The 17,490-nt window shown below is 45.7% G+C and overlaps 1 long non-coding RNA gene across 1 annotated transcript in view, besides 1 other annotated feature; it reads right to left on the bottom strand.

Annotated features, from left to right (window-relative positions):
• The window catches only part of LOC107985448 (uncharacterized), a 90,007-nt gene that overhangs the window by 61,627 nt on the left and 10,890 nt on the right, over window positions 1-17,490 (bottom strand). The gene's annotated exons all lie outside the window — the stretch shown is intronic.
• Window positions 7,036-7,536: an enhancer, noted in NCBI's record as "H3K4me1 hESC enhancer chr20:37779519-37780019 (GRCh37/hg19 assembly coordinates)". NCBI's record gives its function as "activates a minimal SCP1, AML or CMV promoter by ChIP-STARR-seq in naive H9 embryonic stem cells {active_cell/tissue: H9 hESC(naive)}" and the evidence as "EXISTENCE:reporter gene assay evidence [ECO:0000049][PMID:30033119]".

Below are 17,490 nucleotides of genomic sequence, written 5' to 3'. Positions count from 1 at the left end.
ATGATCATGCCTCTGCACTCCAGCCTGGGCAACACAGTGAGACCCTGTCTGGAAAAAAAAAAAAAAAAGGAAAAAAAGAATGGCAGACATCTCAGCAGGGGGCCACAGGTTTGGTTCTTGCCATGTTCTCTTATAACTTCACAGACTTAGAAAATGAGCTCTTCTCTTCCAAAGCCTAAGAAATAACTGATTTGGCAGAATCAAAATGATCTCCACAAACTGGATGGCTGGGACAAAACCAACAAAGGAAATTCAACAGGGGTGATTCTTTCATCACACATTGAAGTTCGGTTCAAATCATATATTGCATAAGCTCGGGGGAAAAGAATTTGAAATCCTGTGGACCCTCTTGTAAAATAATAGGATTGTTTTTCCTGAAAAAGGCACATGGGTCATGAGAGGGGACCCTTCTATAGTCCTCTGTGCTGCACAGAGCACACCTGGAGCTCTGTGCCCAGCTCAAGGATCTTCCCTGGCTTGACCCAACTCAAACCAATGGCAAAAGCCATGTCCGGCAGAACATTAGCAAGGTGCTAGGGAGCATAGCTCACATTGCCCTTCATCCCAAATTCGGACTCCTGAGGTGAGGATGTGAACCCCAGGTTTCCCCACCCTCCTTGACATGAGAGTCCAATACCCCTCACCATGCCCCAGTGTCCATCCACAGAGATGGACTGCGGTGAGCCTGCCCCAAAGAAGACTGGGAAGAGGCTCACTCTATTATCAGCCTCTGGTCCCAGCCCGAAGGAAGGTTCAGAGACTCAGGGCCTATAGGGGGCCAGGCAGGAGACACTAGTGGCTGATACCTGGAACAACCAGTCACAACCCAAACTCCCATCTCCCTCCTACCACAGATACTGTCATTCTACTCAGGGCCATGTGTTAGGGAACGTGAGACTGAGTCAGCCTTTGGGGACACACCTGCTGGAGGTTATCAAAGGCACTCACCCAGAACCATCACTGGCATGGGTCAGGCCTGCAGCTCCTTGAACCTCAGCAGGAGCTAGATGGGGAAGAGGAGCAGGCTGGGGCTGGCCACCTGGCTGTGGACCTGGCCCCAAGGTGAGAAGTCAGCAGTCCAGTGCCAATGTCCACAGAGGTATAGCAAATTCAGTTCCACTCGGCCTACATCAATATCCAGATGCATCCAACCCTGATCAGGATACCAGACCTGGGGACAGAGTGACAGAGTCCAGTGCAATAGGGAGTGTTAGGAGAGGGCGAAGAGTCAGGGTCCAGCCAAGCAAAACAGGATCAGAGCAGGATTCCAGCAACTGAGACACCATAAGAGCTAGCAGATCAGTCAAATGAGAAGTTTCTAGTACTGCTATACCACTCAGGCAAGGGAAACTGTGCTCTCAGTGGGGAGCTGAGGAAGACTATGACCTGGTGGAAGTGAGGCGACGCCAGGCATTGAAGCAGCAGGCTGAAGGCCAGGAAACAGAGGCAGTGGCTCTCCAGCCAGCCTGTTCACATTGAGCCTATACTCCAGTGAGATTTGCCAGGTATGGAGAGCTTCTGAAAGTCACAGTGACCCATCTCTGGCCAGGAACCTGGTCCTCCTCCTTCAAACCCTGTCACTAGGGCAGTGTGCTCTGCTCTCTGCCTGGTTATTGAATCCTCCCTCCAGGAAACTGGTCATTGCAGAGGAAAGCTAAATTGCATGTGTTTGCCAAGGAAAGGAATCCCTGCAGCAAGAATCTTGGGCAAGCCATCCTTACAGGCATTGGTCCCAGGGGCCTCTCCATCAGTGTACGGAGCCACCCTCCTTGGGTTCCCAGTGTCCGTTCCCCCTGTTCAACTCCAGCCACTCTGGCGCCTCAGCAAACGGTCACCTTTGCAGACTAGCCAAGTGAAAACAGAACTCCCCCACTTCTTGTTCTTTAAAACCCACTCCTGTTTTTTATTTTTTATTATTTAATTCTAGGGCATTTCCAAAACTCAGACAGACTTTTCCACATTGGTTTCTTTTCCCAGTTGCCCATTCCAAAAGGAAAACTCAAGATCCACAGTTTCCCTTGCACATCAGGATTGGGGTTCGAGGCCATGCTCTGTGGCCGTGGATGCTGCTGTTGTATTACTTTTATGAGTGTTAAATTTTTAAAAATCATAACAAAGGTTGGCTCCGGCAGTCGTGCATGCTGAGGCCTCACAATGCTTGCTGTCGTAAGGGGCTGATTACTCAACTCCATTTATCAAAGTGTCACTTCTCTGACAGGCCCTAATAAATATCCTGCCAGAGACCCCGCACCTGGCAGCCGGGCCTCTCGGCAACACGCCGCTAACCTAATTTGCTAATTGCTGCTTTCCCCATTAATTTTAGTCCTGTCTTGTTTGGTGTTGACATGGAGGAAAAAGAAATGGGGTGGAAAAAACAGACAAGAAAGAAAATATCTCGGGGTCCCCCAGCATTCACTCCGCCCTCCCGCCCCTTCACATAACCACTCAATCGCATTCACCCCTAAATACCAACTTCCTTCCCCTCTCTTCTTCTCATCATGGCTGGGGGAGATTAAACATTTAAAGGTGCAGGTACCATATTTTCCAAAGCAAAAATCAGGACATGTGCCTCATAATAGGATATAATGTTTGAAAATGGGGCCGTTGTAGAAATATAAGGGGCCTGTGGTTACCATATCTAAAGAATTTCAGCCAGGCATCATGGTGTACTCCTGTAATCCCAGCACTTTGAGAGGCTAAGGCAGGAGGATTGCTTGAGCCCAGGAGTTCAAGGCTGCAGTGAACTATGATCACAACAATGCACTTCAGCCTGGGCAGAAAAGCGAGACTCTGTCTCTTACAAGAAGGGGGGAAAAAAAAAAAAGAATGTCATCATTCTAATCAATATCATTGCACTAGCTAGGGAAGAGATTAAGTAGGACATCAAGGGGTTAACAAGTCCAGCCCATCAGTCATCTCCTACCCCTGCAACCCAGAGCCTTCAAGCCCTGAGGTTCCTCATTCCAACCCTCCCTGCATCACAGGTAAACTCCCTTTTGGTCTCTAAAGGTCTCACCTCCCTTTTGGTCTCACTCTAAACAATGATGTCCAAGACAACATCACGGTCTGCCTAAGGATTGACCTTCCAGCCAGGATTGACTCACCCAGATGGTGAAGAGGCCTTACTGTGGATTATCTGGTTATAGATCATTACCTTTGAGCCCGGTGGGTTCAAAGACCTGAATACACTCTCTTCACTGAGATGAATGAAAGTTTCTATCTTAAAAACGAGGATGGCTGTCTCACCCACCCAAGGATCTGAAAATGATCTCCTCCTCCATCTGGGTACATGGAAACCTTGGGCATTGATCTGGTGGTCCCACACTGGACAGACTGGATATATCCATAGATTCTATTTAATTCATGTACTTCCTCATTATAGATTTCATTATAGGCAAATCAGCAACATCAAACAAGACAGGGTTGTGGCACTGCAATTTTTTTTAAAGTTGACTAAGATGGTATATGCTTGTTGTAGAAAAATGTACACCTCCAGAAAGACGCAAAGATTCTTCAATGTCCCATCACTCCAGGACAACAGCCATAGGAGTATATATTACTTTGCATATAGATCATGCTATTATACCACCTGTCTCGTTTTTTCACTCACATATCAAGATGCTCTTCTGTGCCATTAAGCATATATCTCCATCATTCTTTTTAACCATTTTACCAGAATTTATTTACTAGTCATATACGGACAGCTAAAATGGATATTTAAGTTGTTCCGTCTTTTTTCCTATCCACAATGCTGTGATGAATAGCCTTGCACAGTAGTCCCCTTCTTATCCACAGTTTTGCTTTTCATCGTCTCAGTTACCCACGGTCAGTTTGAAAAATCATCATGGCTCAATGATCCAGGACCACTCAAAAGCAAGTTATCCTCCTTCTGATGTATTGTCATAGTGGAAAATATCAAGGTTGATAGTAGCTTAATGCCACATCACAATACCTATGTCATTCGAAAACTCACTTTGTCTCATTATGTAGGCATTTTACCATCTCAGATCTTCACAAGAAGGGTGAGTACAGTATAATAAGATATTTTGAGAGACAGAGAGACTACATTTAAATAACTTTTATTACTGTATATTGTTATAATGGTTCTATTTTATTACTGTTGTTGTTAATCTCTTACTCTGCTTAATTTGTAAATTAAACTTTATCATAGGTGTGTATATATGGTATAGGAAAAAACACGGTACATTTGTATAGGGTTCAGTAGTATGCACAGTGAGAGGCACCTAGTGGGGGATTTGGAATGTATCCCCCACAAATAAGGGGCTACTATACCTACACCTTTGTTCATTTGTACACCTTTGTTCATTTGTCCAATTATTATCCTAGGATAGATGGTTAGAGGTAGAAGCACCAGTTTAAATGGTGTGTACATTTAAAATTTAGATAAACTTTCTCACATTGTCCCTGCAGAAAAGATGAACAAACTTATATTGCCCCCACCATCATGGTGCATGAGATTTTACTACTGTACAACCTCAAATTAGTCAGTTATTTTTCATTTTTAATCATTGCCAGTCCTCTCGGTAACAAATTATATTTTTATTTGCATTTTTATTTGTTGTGAAGTTCAACTGTTTTTATGTTTGCAGGACACTCAAATTTATTTTGTAAATTACCTGTCCTTACCCTTTGCAAATTTTTCTATTTGCATTTTTCTTATTAATTTATAGGCACTTTTTATATATTAGGGATACTGTTCCTTCACCATGTACAAGTTTTTCATCCATTCTTCCTACCATGCCCAGTTTATTACTTCAATTTTCTATATAGTGTTTATTATATGATAGTGGAAAATACCAAGAACATTTGCGTATAATAAAATCTACAGTAGGGAAGTACATGAGATAAGTAGACTCTATGGACATATCCACTCTATTCAGTGTGGGACCACCAGCAAAACACTAAGGCTTCCATGTGCCAAAACAGAGAAGAATATTATATGCAGATTCCTGGATGAGTGAGACAGCCCTAAAATCTCTCAGCTTCCTCATATTCATCTACTCCTTCCCTCGATGGATTGCGAGTTTCCTGATGACCTGAATTCCAGGAAGGAGCTGTTAGAACCAAGCAAGGCTATGTGACAAGTCAGTAGCCCAGCCTTCGAGATTCTCACCTTGACAACAGTGAGCTCTCTGAGACTTCAGTTACCTGGCTTCAGCCTAAATAGAGCACCCAGTTATTTGTCCCCAGGTCACAGCACCATGTATATTTTGTTGAGGATATAAACCATATATCCTCACCAAAAGTGGAGTGTGGGTTAGAAAGAGGGAATGGCATAAGAGTAAAGAAGAAACTAGGGAGAGGCACATTTGAGTTAGTCAAAACATTCTTCATGCCTGAGTTCCATAGCCAGGTTATCACTGGTGGTAGAGGATGAAGTTCAGGTGATCACATACGCTGGAGGCAGAAGATCAAGGACAACACCCAAGTGTACAGGGATATGTGTGCATGTTTACATTCCAGCTGCTCAGTGTCCACAGGTGTATTCACATGCAGGCTCAGGTGTGTGTACAAAGCTGTGTGGCAGGCATGGGTGGGAATGAACTGAACAAGGCTGACATGAGTGTGTCCAAGTCCATCTTTGTACAAGCCTGCCAGTGTAATTATCTACTTAGAGACTGTGCCTGGACAGAGAAATGAAGATAAATGTCTTTGTATACAAGGACAGGGTTGCAATATCTGTGAGACTATAAAGGACAAGAGACATTAGACTCAACGCAGTAACTTTTCTAAATGTTTTCCAGATTTACACACTCAGTCCCAGAGGTGCTGAAACTACATCAGAACTAAGACCATGTGTTTGAAATACCCTCATCCTCTTTCATATACTTGGAAAACTTCTACTTCTACTTCAAGACCCGACTCATTTGTCCCCATCCCCCCAACCAGCCTCATGGAAGAGTTCATCTTAGGACCTCTGTTTTATAATACTCTTCACACCATATTCCAGTTATCTGTGTACACACATTCCTCCTAACTAGCCCATAACCTCCTCCAGGTCAGGACCTGTGGACCTATGTCTTACTTGTCTCTGTACACACAGCATCTGGTTTCCCGGCATTCGGCAGGTAGAATAAACATTTGCAGAATGAGTTCTTGAATGACGGCTCTCTTGGTCACACACACACACACACACACGGCTCTGTTGGCCCTGAGGTCACACAGCCTTGGATTGGATGTCAGCTATAGTACACAACAAAGATATTGGGACACTCCTACTTCCACTAAGTCAGTGACAGCAAGAAAAGAGGTATATATATCCAGGCCTGCTTAATTAAAGCAATCAATAAAAGCCCCCCCCCCCCCAGGCCCTCCAAAGATGTCCAGTAAGGAAGCATTTAGAAGCCTTCTCCTTTCCTCTCACCACTGTCTAGAACATGGGTTGACAAACTTTTTCTTAAAAGGCCAGAGAGTAAATAATCTGGGCTTTGAGGGCTCTATGATCGACTGTAGCTTTCACTTGTCTACTGTTTGAGAGCAGTCACAGACAATACATGAACTACATATGTATGGCATGGCTGCAGACCAATAGAACTGCACAGTCTGCCAATCCCTGGTCTAGAATTCTGAAGTGGAGGAAGAGGCTCAGACCTACACCAAGGACAGCAGTGGCCTCTGTCAAGGGAGGCTAACCCATCATCACCCTTTCTGAGAACCACACAGCCAGGCCCCTCACCCCCACATCAACACCATGCCAAAGTAGAGACGCACTAGAGGCTGAAGACAGAGCTACTGCGTGTGGTTGCCCAAGCTGTGCACTGCACAAATTCAGGCGATGCCATTCACATAGACCTTGATATGAATGGTGCCCTCCCGTGAGTTGGACAACATGTCAGCCCTGCCTAAGGGTTGCCAAGAAGCCTCATATTTGTAAGAGTCACTGGCTGGTGGGTGATCATGTAGACCTTTGGCTGCTAGTCCACTAGTTCAAACACCTGATGGACAAGGGTGTCTCCCCCAAGAAAGGACTGTGAGCCTCTGCTTCTTTGGAAGCAGTGTAATGGGGGCTTTCACATTGCATAGATAATTTGAGGCTGAGAGGCCAGGGCTGAAGGGTGCCTGGAAGGAGTGGACCAGGGACTATAAGGAGTTGTCGGAATTTTTTTAAAGCTGTTTCTGTTGAGACTTAAAGAGCATGTGATTTGGGAATGCAAAGCTGCCTGCCCCCAACATGCCACTGCTGAGTCTGTTGCTCTCAGCTCCTGGTTGCTCAGGAATCCAAGAGGCAGCAGGGGCCCCTGGAAGTATCCAGCCAGGCACCCCACCTAAGGAGCATGGAGGCCAGCTCTGGGGAGGAGGTGAAGTCAGCCTTCATCCTCACAGGCTACAGGGCCCAGCCCCTCAGAGCCACCAAAGAACCACCCCAGATCCCACCCTACCCCAAAAGGCCCCAGAGCTGGCCGCAGCTGGCCCCAGATCCCTCCCAGGATAAGCCTGCTGCCCAGCTCTCAGCCATTAAACTCCGCTGAGCCTCTTTCCAATAGCTACAGATGAACAAAATATTGCCCTGTTCCCAGTTACGTTAAAAGGGCCTAGTAAAGAATAATGGCAAAGATGCTCACGGCCAAAAGCTGCTCTTGATGGCCCTTTAAGCGAGATTTAAAGCCGGCATTTAGCAGTGTCCCTGGATCACTTGCTGGCACCGATCGGTGGGAAGTATGTGCGTGGCGCCTCCCCGGGCCAGCAGGCAGGGCCATTCGTCATTCCAGGCCCCTCTGCCTGCCCCCTGTACTGTGCTGGCTCCCCACTAGCGCTGCCCAAGTCCATTAGGCCCCTGCCTGATCTGCCCACTAATAATCCCGGCTGTCAGGTGCCTCAGGATGAGACAAGCAGAGGGGATGGGGAGGCCGTAAGGTGTGCCAGGATCTGAGAAACTGAGTCAGGGACAGGGGTGGAAGCAAGGAAGAAAAGGTGGTGGGGTCCCTGGAGAATAGAGGGCCCTGTTAATTTACTTATTCAACATGGATTTATAGAACTCCTGTATATGCCAGGCAAGCCAGGTAGAGAGATGCATAAACAAGCACATTTGCTCACTACCCTTATAAAATGTATTATTGGCTGGGCACAATGGTTCACGCCTATAATCTCAGAACTTTGGGAGGCAAAGGCAGGCAGATTGCTTGAGCCCAGGAGTTCAAGACCAGCCTGGGCAACATGGCAAAATCCTGTCTTTACAAAAAAAATACAAAAATTAGCCGGGTGCAATGGTGTGCACCTGTAACCCCAGCAACTTGGGAGGCTGAGGCAGGAGAATCACTTGAGCTTGGGAGGCGGAGGTTGCAGTGAACCAAGATCATGCCACTGCACTCCAGCCTATGTGACAGGAGTGAAATCCTGCCTCAAAAAATAAGATAAAATGTATTCTCCAGAGAAGAGGAGAAATAGTAAACTTTCAATAACAGTAAAGTATGATAACTGTTTTGATAAGGAGAGCCCAAGGAAGGAGCAAATAGGTCAGGCTTGGGGACATCCCTGAGAATGTAGGATTTGCCTAGGACATAAACCTGTGCTGTGTAACACAGTGGCCACCAGCCACATGTGGCTATTGAGCACTGGAAGTGTGGTTCATGCAAATTGAAATGAGCTGCAGGTGAAAAATGTACTCCTAATTTCAATGTCTTGCTACAAAAAAAAGAATGCAAAATATCTCATTAGTCATTTTATACTGATCATATGTTGAAATGATTAGATTTTGAACATTTGGATTAAATAAAATATATTATCTAAATTAATTTCAACTGTTTCTCTTTGCTTTTTTAAATATGACTACTAGAACATTCTGAAGTACATTAAGTGACTCACATTTGTGGCTCACATCATATCTATTGGTAATGTACATGTCATTCAAGATACGCCTTCTTATGAGAGCCAGCCTAGTGATAACTAGTGCTGGCCTAATGATAACTAGAAATGTGCCAGGTGAGGGAGGATAGAGCACAGACCAGCAACTGAAGGTTTAGTAATAAAATCCACCCTACCAAGCAAAAGTCCAAAGTCTGGACCCCTGACAAATAAGCTGGGCTCCAGGAAGAGAAATGGAGGCAGAAGCTTCTCTGTCAGCTTGTGTAAGCATGTTGGATGTCTAGGACAGGCCAAAACTCAGGGAGTAAGCTGGTGCCTGAAGCATTCATCAGCATGGCGGGTCTCCGGCTGCACAACTCACTCCAGGTCCCACCTAAGGATTCTGTCTCAGTTTCATCTTGCCTTCTGGCTCCAGCACCTTGACTTTCCAGCTGCCCTACAAATTATAGGCTTACTCTCACCTGGAGCTCCTTCAATTCTGTACAGCAAGACCCCACAGTGTGGCTTGCCTTTCCTGCTAAAGAGTTTGAGAAGTTCTACTTGTTGGATATACAGTTTCCTTTTCAAACCACAGCAATGTGAGGACTTACCATGAGCCTGGCGCTGAGCTCTGTACTTCACTCACATGCTTGCTTAAGCCTCACATAGACCCTATTAGGTGCTCAGTGGCTGAGCAGACAATAGAAACAGTTTTTTCCTCATTAAGATATTTGAGTTTCTATTCCCATCCTTCATTTCTCAAATCCAAAGAGAGCCTACAGCAAGAATGGTCAATAGGTTTTATTTCATATGCCACTTCCAACAGATTGGTACTGACTGCCTAAAGCATGTGTTGAGAAGGATTCAGAGGTGTAGCAGAAAATCATGGCTTTGATAGATTAGTAATGTCTGCCATGGAAGTATGCATGTGTGGTGTTTGCCACTGTTAATCTTAATTTAGGTCAAATCCTATAATCACTAGTCAGACAACGTTCAAAGCAGATCTATATCCTGGAATTCAATCAACATGTTCAGCAGCTCATGCAAGTATGCAGGGGTTTCACTTGACAGCAAGAAGACATCATGGCATGTCCTCCCAAAAATATACTGGGATTTCAGGATCTCAGGCGGTATGAAGAGAGATTACAGCGGGAGGGTCCTGCTGCTCTGTGCCAATGAGACCACACCTAGACTACACTTTACAGGGACATAACTAACAGAAGTGCACTCAGAAAAAGGCAACCAGGGTGGAAAGGGGTCACAAAAATGCATTATCTGAAGGTTAATAGAATGAACAGAGAGCTGAACCTGGAGATCCAGATGGCATGACTACTCTCTTCAAATAGAATAAGAATTCACTTGTTCAACAAACATTTAATAAGCACCTATTATGTGCCAGATACAGTGCCAGGATCTGTGCATACGACAGCAAATGTGGAGTATCTTTCATCGGCCCCTTCAGATCCATGGGTGCCCTCTCCATCCCGCTCTGTACCCCAAAATGTTCACCTGATAAAACATATCAATGGACTCCCTTACTCCCTCACTTCCGACCAGGCTCAGACAATAGAAGATCAGAAGGCAAGAGGAGAGCGAGGTCAAGGTATTTGTCAAGTTGCTGCTGGTGGCCTCAACCAAAGGCTCCAGCCAGGGCTCCAGTACCACGCCTTTGGGAATGCAAAAACCCTCAGTTATTGGGTTAGTCACAGCTTTCTGGTGTGGCTAGTCCTGGGTAATATACTGTCCCTTGTGGATTACCCTAAGCCTGCCTACACCCTTGTGGGTTTGGGGGGAGTTTTATTGTTTGTTTTGAGACAGGGTTTCTCTCTGTCACCCATGCTGGAGTGCAGTGGTGCCATCATGGCTCACTGCAGCCTCGACCTCCCAGGCTTAAGTGATCCTCCCACCTTAGCCTCCCAAGTAGCTGTGACCAGAGGCGTAAGACACCACACCTGGCTGATTATTTTTTTTATTTTTTGTAGAGATGGGGTCTTGCTTTGTTACCCAGGCTGGTCTTGAACTCCTGGGCTCAAGTAATACTCCTCCTTTGACCTCCCAAAGTGCTGGGATTATAGATGTGAGCTACCATGCCCAGCCTATACCCTTATAAAAAGTCCCTTTATTAAACTCAAACTACAGAATTCAAGTGTGACATCTATTTCTTGCTAGGACCCTTATGAATCATGTGAATAAAGCAGGCTTGGTCCCTGCTCTTAGTAAAGCTTACAGTCTGGTGGGAAAGACAGGTGATAAACAGGCAAACAAACATAACATCGATTGTGGTATTTGTAATAAAGATAACAAGCTTAGTGTAGTAAGTAGCAGAAAGTGGGGGGTACCAAATAAAATGGAGTGGTCAGGGAGGCTCCTGAAAATGCAGCATTTAAGCTGAGATCTGTCTGAGAATTAGCTGGGTGAAGAATTGTTCTGTTGTTACTGAGAACCAAGAGGGGTAGTGATGAATTTGGTCCCCAAAACTTCTCAAATATGGAGTAAGCTGCCCAAAGAGATAGTAAGCTCCCCCTCCAAGACACTAACATAGAGTCTAGAGGGCTCTGGTGGTAGTAATGCCAGAACAAGGATTAATTTCCTGGGGAAGGGGGAGACCAGCGGTGTGCTAGGAGCCTGTCCTAGGAGGGTCACTCCATTCCTCTCTTGTCCAGCCTGAATCTTGGTGCACTACTGCACTCCTGCCTGCCACATCAACTGGGAGAACAGAGAAATAAGGGTGCTAAAATGTGCATGACAGAAAAAGATGGGCAAAATTATCACTGCTCTAGACCAATTTTACAGAGGTGAGAGGAAGAATTGAGGGCCAAGTCCATGAGTAACAAGTGGTTTTAATACATAGTAACTGTGTCTACTGCATACACGAGGCAACCAGGCTTCTAGGATCTGCCCCAATCATGAGGACGTAAGAGCAGAGAGCAAAGAGAATTCTACTCCTCTTGCAATAAGAAGTCCAAGGATTGCCTTCCTCCTCAGGAGCTGGAATCTCAGGAATTTCATGGCTCTCAGCCCTGGATCCCCATTCAAATCACCTGGAGGACTTTTAGAAGGCTCCACCCCCAAAACTCCTGGCATAATTGATCTGGGATCTAGTGTGAAGTCCATATTGAAAGCCACTGTAAAAAGAGCTAAATGGGCTGGAGCATGCAAAGAGAAATGCCAGGGCATCCTGGGAAACTGTTTAAATGAGGTTCTCTCTTAGGAACATTCTCTAGTTACTGTCAAAACTCAGAGTGAAACAGGGTCACTTGGGTGCTTGAAGCTCACAGGTACCCAGTCTCCACTCCCCCAGGGTCCGATTCCCTATGTCTTAGATGAGATCTGGGAATATGTACACTTAATATGCTCTTAAGTAGACTGGGGAAAATACCATTTTGGGGAAAAAAAAAAAAAAGTCCCAAATATTCAGGTTACTCCCAGGGATGACCTCTTAATACTTAACCCCTGCTTGAGAGTTTGGAGAAAGTCAGCACCCTGGGCAGAGGCAGCAGCGGGGGCCATCATACTGGATGCCATCCTTGGTTTTGGAAAATAAAAGCCTAAGGAGAGAGCTTGTATGGCTAGACTAAGATGTAGCCAGAAAACTGAAACAATTGATTAATTGGCAGGTGGGTGGCAGGGCAGAGAATAGGGAGGGGAAGAATTAGGGATTTGAGAATATAAAAATGAGGACTTCAGAGTGACAAAACTAGGCCCAGAGAAAGGGAACATAAAAATTCATGCTTTAACCCCACTGCAGTTGCCTACGGAAAGGGAGGGGGAAAAAAATGAAATAAACTTTGGACTTTGAAATTCAGAAGCAAACCAACTCTCAGCACTTGCATTTTCTGGGCATTTTAGATTCATTTAATCATGTAATCATCAGGATAAGATGTGAGGAAGTTCGTATTAAGGTTGGTGCAAAAGTAATTGTGGGTTTTGCCATTTGCAAAATTACCGCAATTACTTTTGCACCAATCCAATATTATTCCCATATGATATAAAAAACAAATGAGGCTCAGCAAATAGAAATGCCTTGCCCAACACCACACAGCCAGGATGCAGTGGTGCCTGCAGGACGTGGGCACAGGCCTGCCTAACTGCATAACCAACAACTCAATCACACTAGCCCCCTTCCAAAAACAGCTTAGGGACTTTGACACCATCACTCTAGGAAAGGAGACAGGAATCCAAACTCCAAAAAAGACCCAGTGAAGGGTGGACTAGGAACAGTCAAGAAAATAATAATTAGAAAAAACAATGGACAGATTTCTTCTTTCCACAAACATTTGAGCACTTCATGTACACCAGATTCTTTACTAAACGCAAAGGACACAAAAGTGAACTTTTGAAAGACTCAATCCTTACCTTCATAAAGTTTACGCCAAGACCAGGGATGGCAAAGTCGTGCAATTCTGGCCATCACTTCCTGCTCCTGCACCCCTGAGAGACATCACTAATCAACTCCCGCATCCTTTTTACTGAGCCCCAGTTTGGCCTCAAATTCCTTTCCAGGTGACCGCGGCCATTCACATGAAGGCTGGCATACGGAATGAAAACTCTTTGCCATCTTTGATTTGAACTTTAGAGTTTACACAAGAATTTTCTGAATACCTACCACATGCAAACACTGGGAATCTGTCAAGCATAATGTCCCCATGTTATAGATGAAGACACTGCCTTTCAGAGGGCATGCTAACAGAACTCTGTAATGAGCCAGGTCTGCTGTAGGGAGCCCTTCAACAGTGGTCACAGTACAAGAGAAGAAGTGAAGAGACAAATTTGAAAAGAACATTAGAGATCTGTTAGGAAGAATTATAAGGTTGGTGCAAAAGTCACTGTGGTTTGTGGTTTTTTATGTGGTTTTTTTTTGTTGTTGTTGTTGTTTGGGTTTTTTTTTGTTGTTTTTTTTTTTTTTGAGATGGAGTCTTTCTCTGTCGCCCAGGCTGGAGTGCAGTGGCACAATCTCAGCTCACTGCAACCTCTGCCTCCCAGATTCAAGCGATTCTCCTGCCTCAGCTTCCCAAGTAGCTGGGACTACAGGCATGTGCCACCATGTCCAGCTAATTTTTTGTATTTTTAGTAGTGATGGGGTTTCACCGTATTAGCCAGGATGGTCTTGATCTCCTGACCTCATGATCTGCCTGTCTCGGCCTCCCAAAGTGCTGAGATTACAGGCGTGAGCCACTGCGCCCAGCCCATTGCGGTTTTTTTTTTTTTTTTTTTGCTTATTCAATATAGAAAAAATTTTAATGCAAAAAGTTAAAGAAAAGTTAAAACACTTATATGCCATCATCCATGTTGACCATTTGATTGGTTTTCTCCTAGACTTTTTTTTTTTAAATACTTTAAGTTTTAGGGTACATGTGCACATTGTGCAGGTTAGTTACATATGTATACATGTGCCATGCTGGTGCGCTGCACCCACTAACTCGTCATCTAGCATTAGGTATATCTCCCAATGCTATCCCTCCCCACAACCCACAACAGGCCCCAGAGTGTGATATTCCCCTTCCTGTGTCCATGTGATCTCGTTATTCAATTCCCACCTATGAGTGAGAATATGTGGTGTTTGGTTTTTTGTTCTTGCGATAGTTTACTGAGAATGATGATTTCCAATTTCATCCATGTCCCTACAAAGGACATGAACTCATCATTTTTTATGGCTGCATAGTATTCCATGGTGTATATGTGCCACATTTTCTTAATCCAGTCTATCATTGTTGGACATTAGGGTTGGTTCCAAGTCTTTGCTATTGTGAATAATGCTGCAATAAACATACGTGTGCATGTGTCTTTATAGCAGCATGATTCATAGTCCTTTGGGTATATACCCAGTAATGGGATGGCTGGGTCAAATGGTATTTCCAGTTCTAGATCCCTGAGGAATCGCCACACTGACTTCCACAATGGTTGAACTAGTTTACGGTCCCACCAACAGTGTAAAAGTGTTCCTATTTCTCCACATCCTCTCCAGCACCTGTTGTTTCCTGACTTTTTAATGATTGCCATTCTAACTGTTGTGAGATGGTATCTCATTGTGGTTTTGATTTGCATTTCTCTGATGGCCAGTGATGGTGAGCATTTTTTCATGTGTTTTTTGGCTGCATAAATGTCTTCTTTTGAGAAGTGTCTGTTCATGTCCTTTGCCCACTTTTTGATGGGGTTGTTTGTTTTTTTCTTGTAAATTTGTTTGAGTTCATTGTAGATTCTGGATATTAGCCTTTTGTCAGATTGCGGTTTTTATCATTGAAAGCAATAGGAAAAACCACAACGACTTTTGCATCAACTTGATATTACACCTGGGGCTCAGCAGGAGCCCTAGGGCCACTGCTTCCAGTGCCAAGCTGTGTGTGCTTCCTCCTGCCTTCCAAGCCTCCCACCCAGCCCCTGGCTGAAGTCCTGCTTCTGTGGTCTGGCTCTCCTCTGATCATCTCCAGGAGGCATGATGGGAGAAGGAAAGGCAGGTTCCATTCCTGCTGCATCCGCCAACGGGGAGAAGAGGAGGGAGTGGGCCTTTGATCTGCCTGGGCATTAGGCATGCCTTGGGTAAGTGTCCATCTCTGGGTCACTCAGTTAGGCCTTTGGACCCATCTCAGTGCCTTCTGCCAAGCCTGCCATCCCTGGAGCAGTGTTTTTCAAACTGTGCACATTAGAGCCACCTGGGGAACGTGACAACTTCACTGTCCAGCCCCACCCCAGACCAATGACATCAGCATCAGCCTGAGGAGGACAGAGCTGCCAGCAACCTGCTCGAAGTCGAGTCAGCTCTGTGTGGAGATGTCCAAGGTGGAGACAGGCAGCCGGCCTGCCAGCTGCTCGCCCTCCAAACCCCATCCCCTGCCAGGCTCAGCACTGAGCCATGCCATGCCTGCTCCCCAAGGCGCCAGGTCCTCCAAATAAAAACAGGCGGCCAGAGTTCAGGGCCCGCTGGCGTTCTCCCGGTAAGCACCTTTTGTTCCAGGCTCAGAGCTGTTAATTAAAGAGCTGTGATTAATGAGGAAGCACTCCCGGTCCCCATCCAGGATGAGAGGTCCTGGGGATGCTGACTTTGCTGGAGGAATCTGCAGTCAGATTCCAACTGGAGCTATTTATAGTTTGAGCTCCAGTAGGGGTGGGAGAAAGGTGCCCCTCCTCCTCCTCGTCTTCTTCCCCCCTCCCTCCCCCTCACCACACCATGATGGAACATAGAGGTGCGAATATTTATTGAGGAAGAATTTTTAAAGGAGTAAATCTTAGCACATATGTGTTCATATTAACTTATCCGTCCATTCATTTCCCCGACATGTATTTATTGAATGCCTACTAAGTGCTGGGCGCCAGGCCAGTTGTTAGGGCTGCAGCTCTGATTGAGAGCAGTGTGGCCCCTATTCTGGTGGAGTTTGCCCTCCAGGAGAGGAGTTATTACCAAGGAAGTTGACAAGTATGTGGACAATTGTACATAGAGGCTGGAGCTCTGCAGGTAAGAACCACGACTGCATGGGAGTGTTGGAGAAAAAACTCAAGAAACCCTCCCAACATCATACCTCCTAGGAGATTATCACCATTTGCCCTTTAATGAGGAAACTGAGGCTCAGACATGTTAAGGAAGCTAAGGTCCCACAAATAGTGTGTGGCAAGGTCTAGATTCAAAACCAAGTGTGGCAGAGACTGATGTGGCTCTCCAAATCCATTTCCTCTTCTTCCTAGGCACAAAATTTCCCACTCTCCTTGAGATTACATAGCTATGAGGCTGAGTTCCAGCCAGTGAATCAAGAGGAATAATGTGCACCACTCCCAAGGGTGCCCCGCACCAGCCCTTCATGCTCTGTCCTGTCGCATCTAGCTTATGAAATCCAGAGGGACCTTGGAAGCCACATGTTGAAGGCATAGAGTCTCTGTCAGCCTGGATGCCTGAATGGCTTTGTGGAACAGAAAACCCCCACCCACCCTCAACCCTGCCACCAAGTAGACTTTCTGTAAGCAAGAAATACGCTTTGTTGAACCGAGTCCCTGGGATGTCAGAGTTTCCCTGTTACAGCAGCCAGCGTCTCCTAAACTAACACAGCAGATCTCCCTGCTCCAAGGTTATGCTTTATCTACTGCCCCTTAGGAAGATTCAATGACTCCCTAAAACATTTTATAAATAGACACCATTGGGAGCGAAGCACAGAGATGATCAGTGTCCTTCACAGATACCCTCTCAGTCAGGCCTTAGTTCATAGTCACTGTGAATCAGCCCTAAATTGTCCCCCAGCCGTGGCCCTACCCCCTCTCCCCTCTTGAGCTGGAACCAAGGTGCTCCATCTCTGCACTGGGGGATGGTGAAGGAGGGAGCAGAGGAGGTATCTTCCTTAACCAGCTCAAAACTGTGGCATTGCCTTTTCCATGGAGGTAGCGCCTGGTGGCATGGAGGAGGAAGGGGAGCCCTGGAATTCGAGTGAGAAGTCCTGCCACAAATCCTGGGGATACCACAGGTCAGTGCCTCGGGCTTCCATATCCTCCTCCATAAAGTAGGTAAATGAAACTACCTTGGCACAATGTCCAACACATGAACGACAAACAGCTTCAAACCTACCTGCAAATGGGAAGCTTCTCAGAGTGGGAATGTCCTGAAGAAAGATGGAAAGATCTGCCAGGCATCGTGGCTCATGTCTGTAATCCTAGTACTTTGGGAAGCCAAGGCAGGTGGATTGCCTGAGCTCAGGAGTTCAAGACCAG

This window comes from Homo sapiens, chromosome 20 (assembly GCF_000001405.40).
Source record: "Homo sapiens chromosome 20, GRCh38.p14 Primary Assembly".
Lineage (NCBI taxonomy): Eukaryota > Metazoa > Chordata > Mammalia > Primates > Hominidae > Homo > Homo sapiens.
This window is presented reverse-complemented; position numbering and strand designations above follow the sequence as displayed.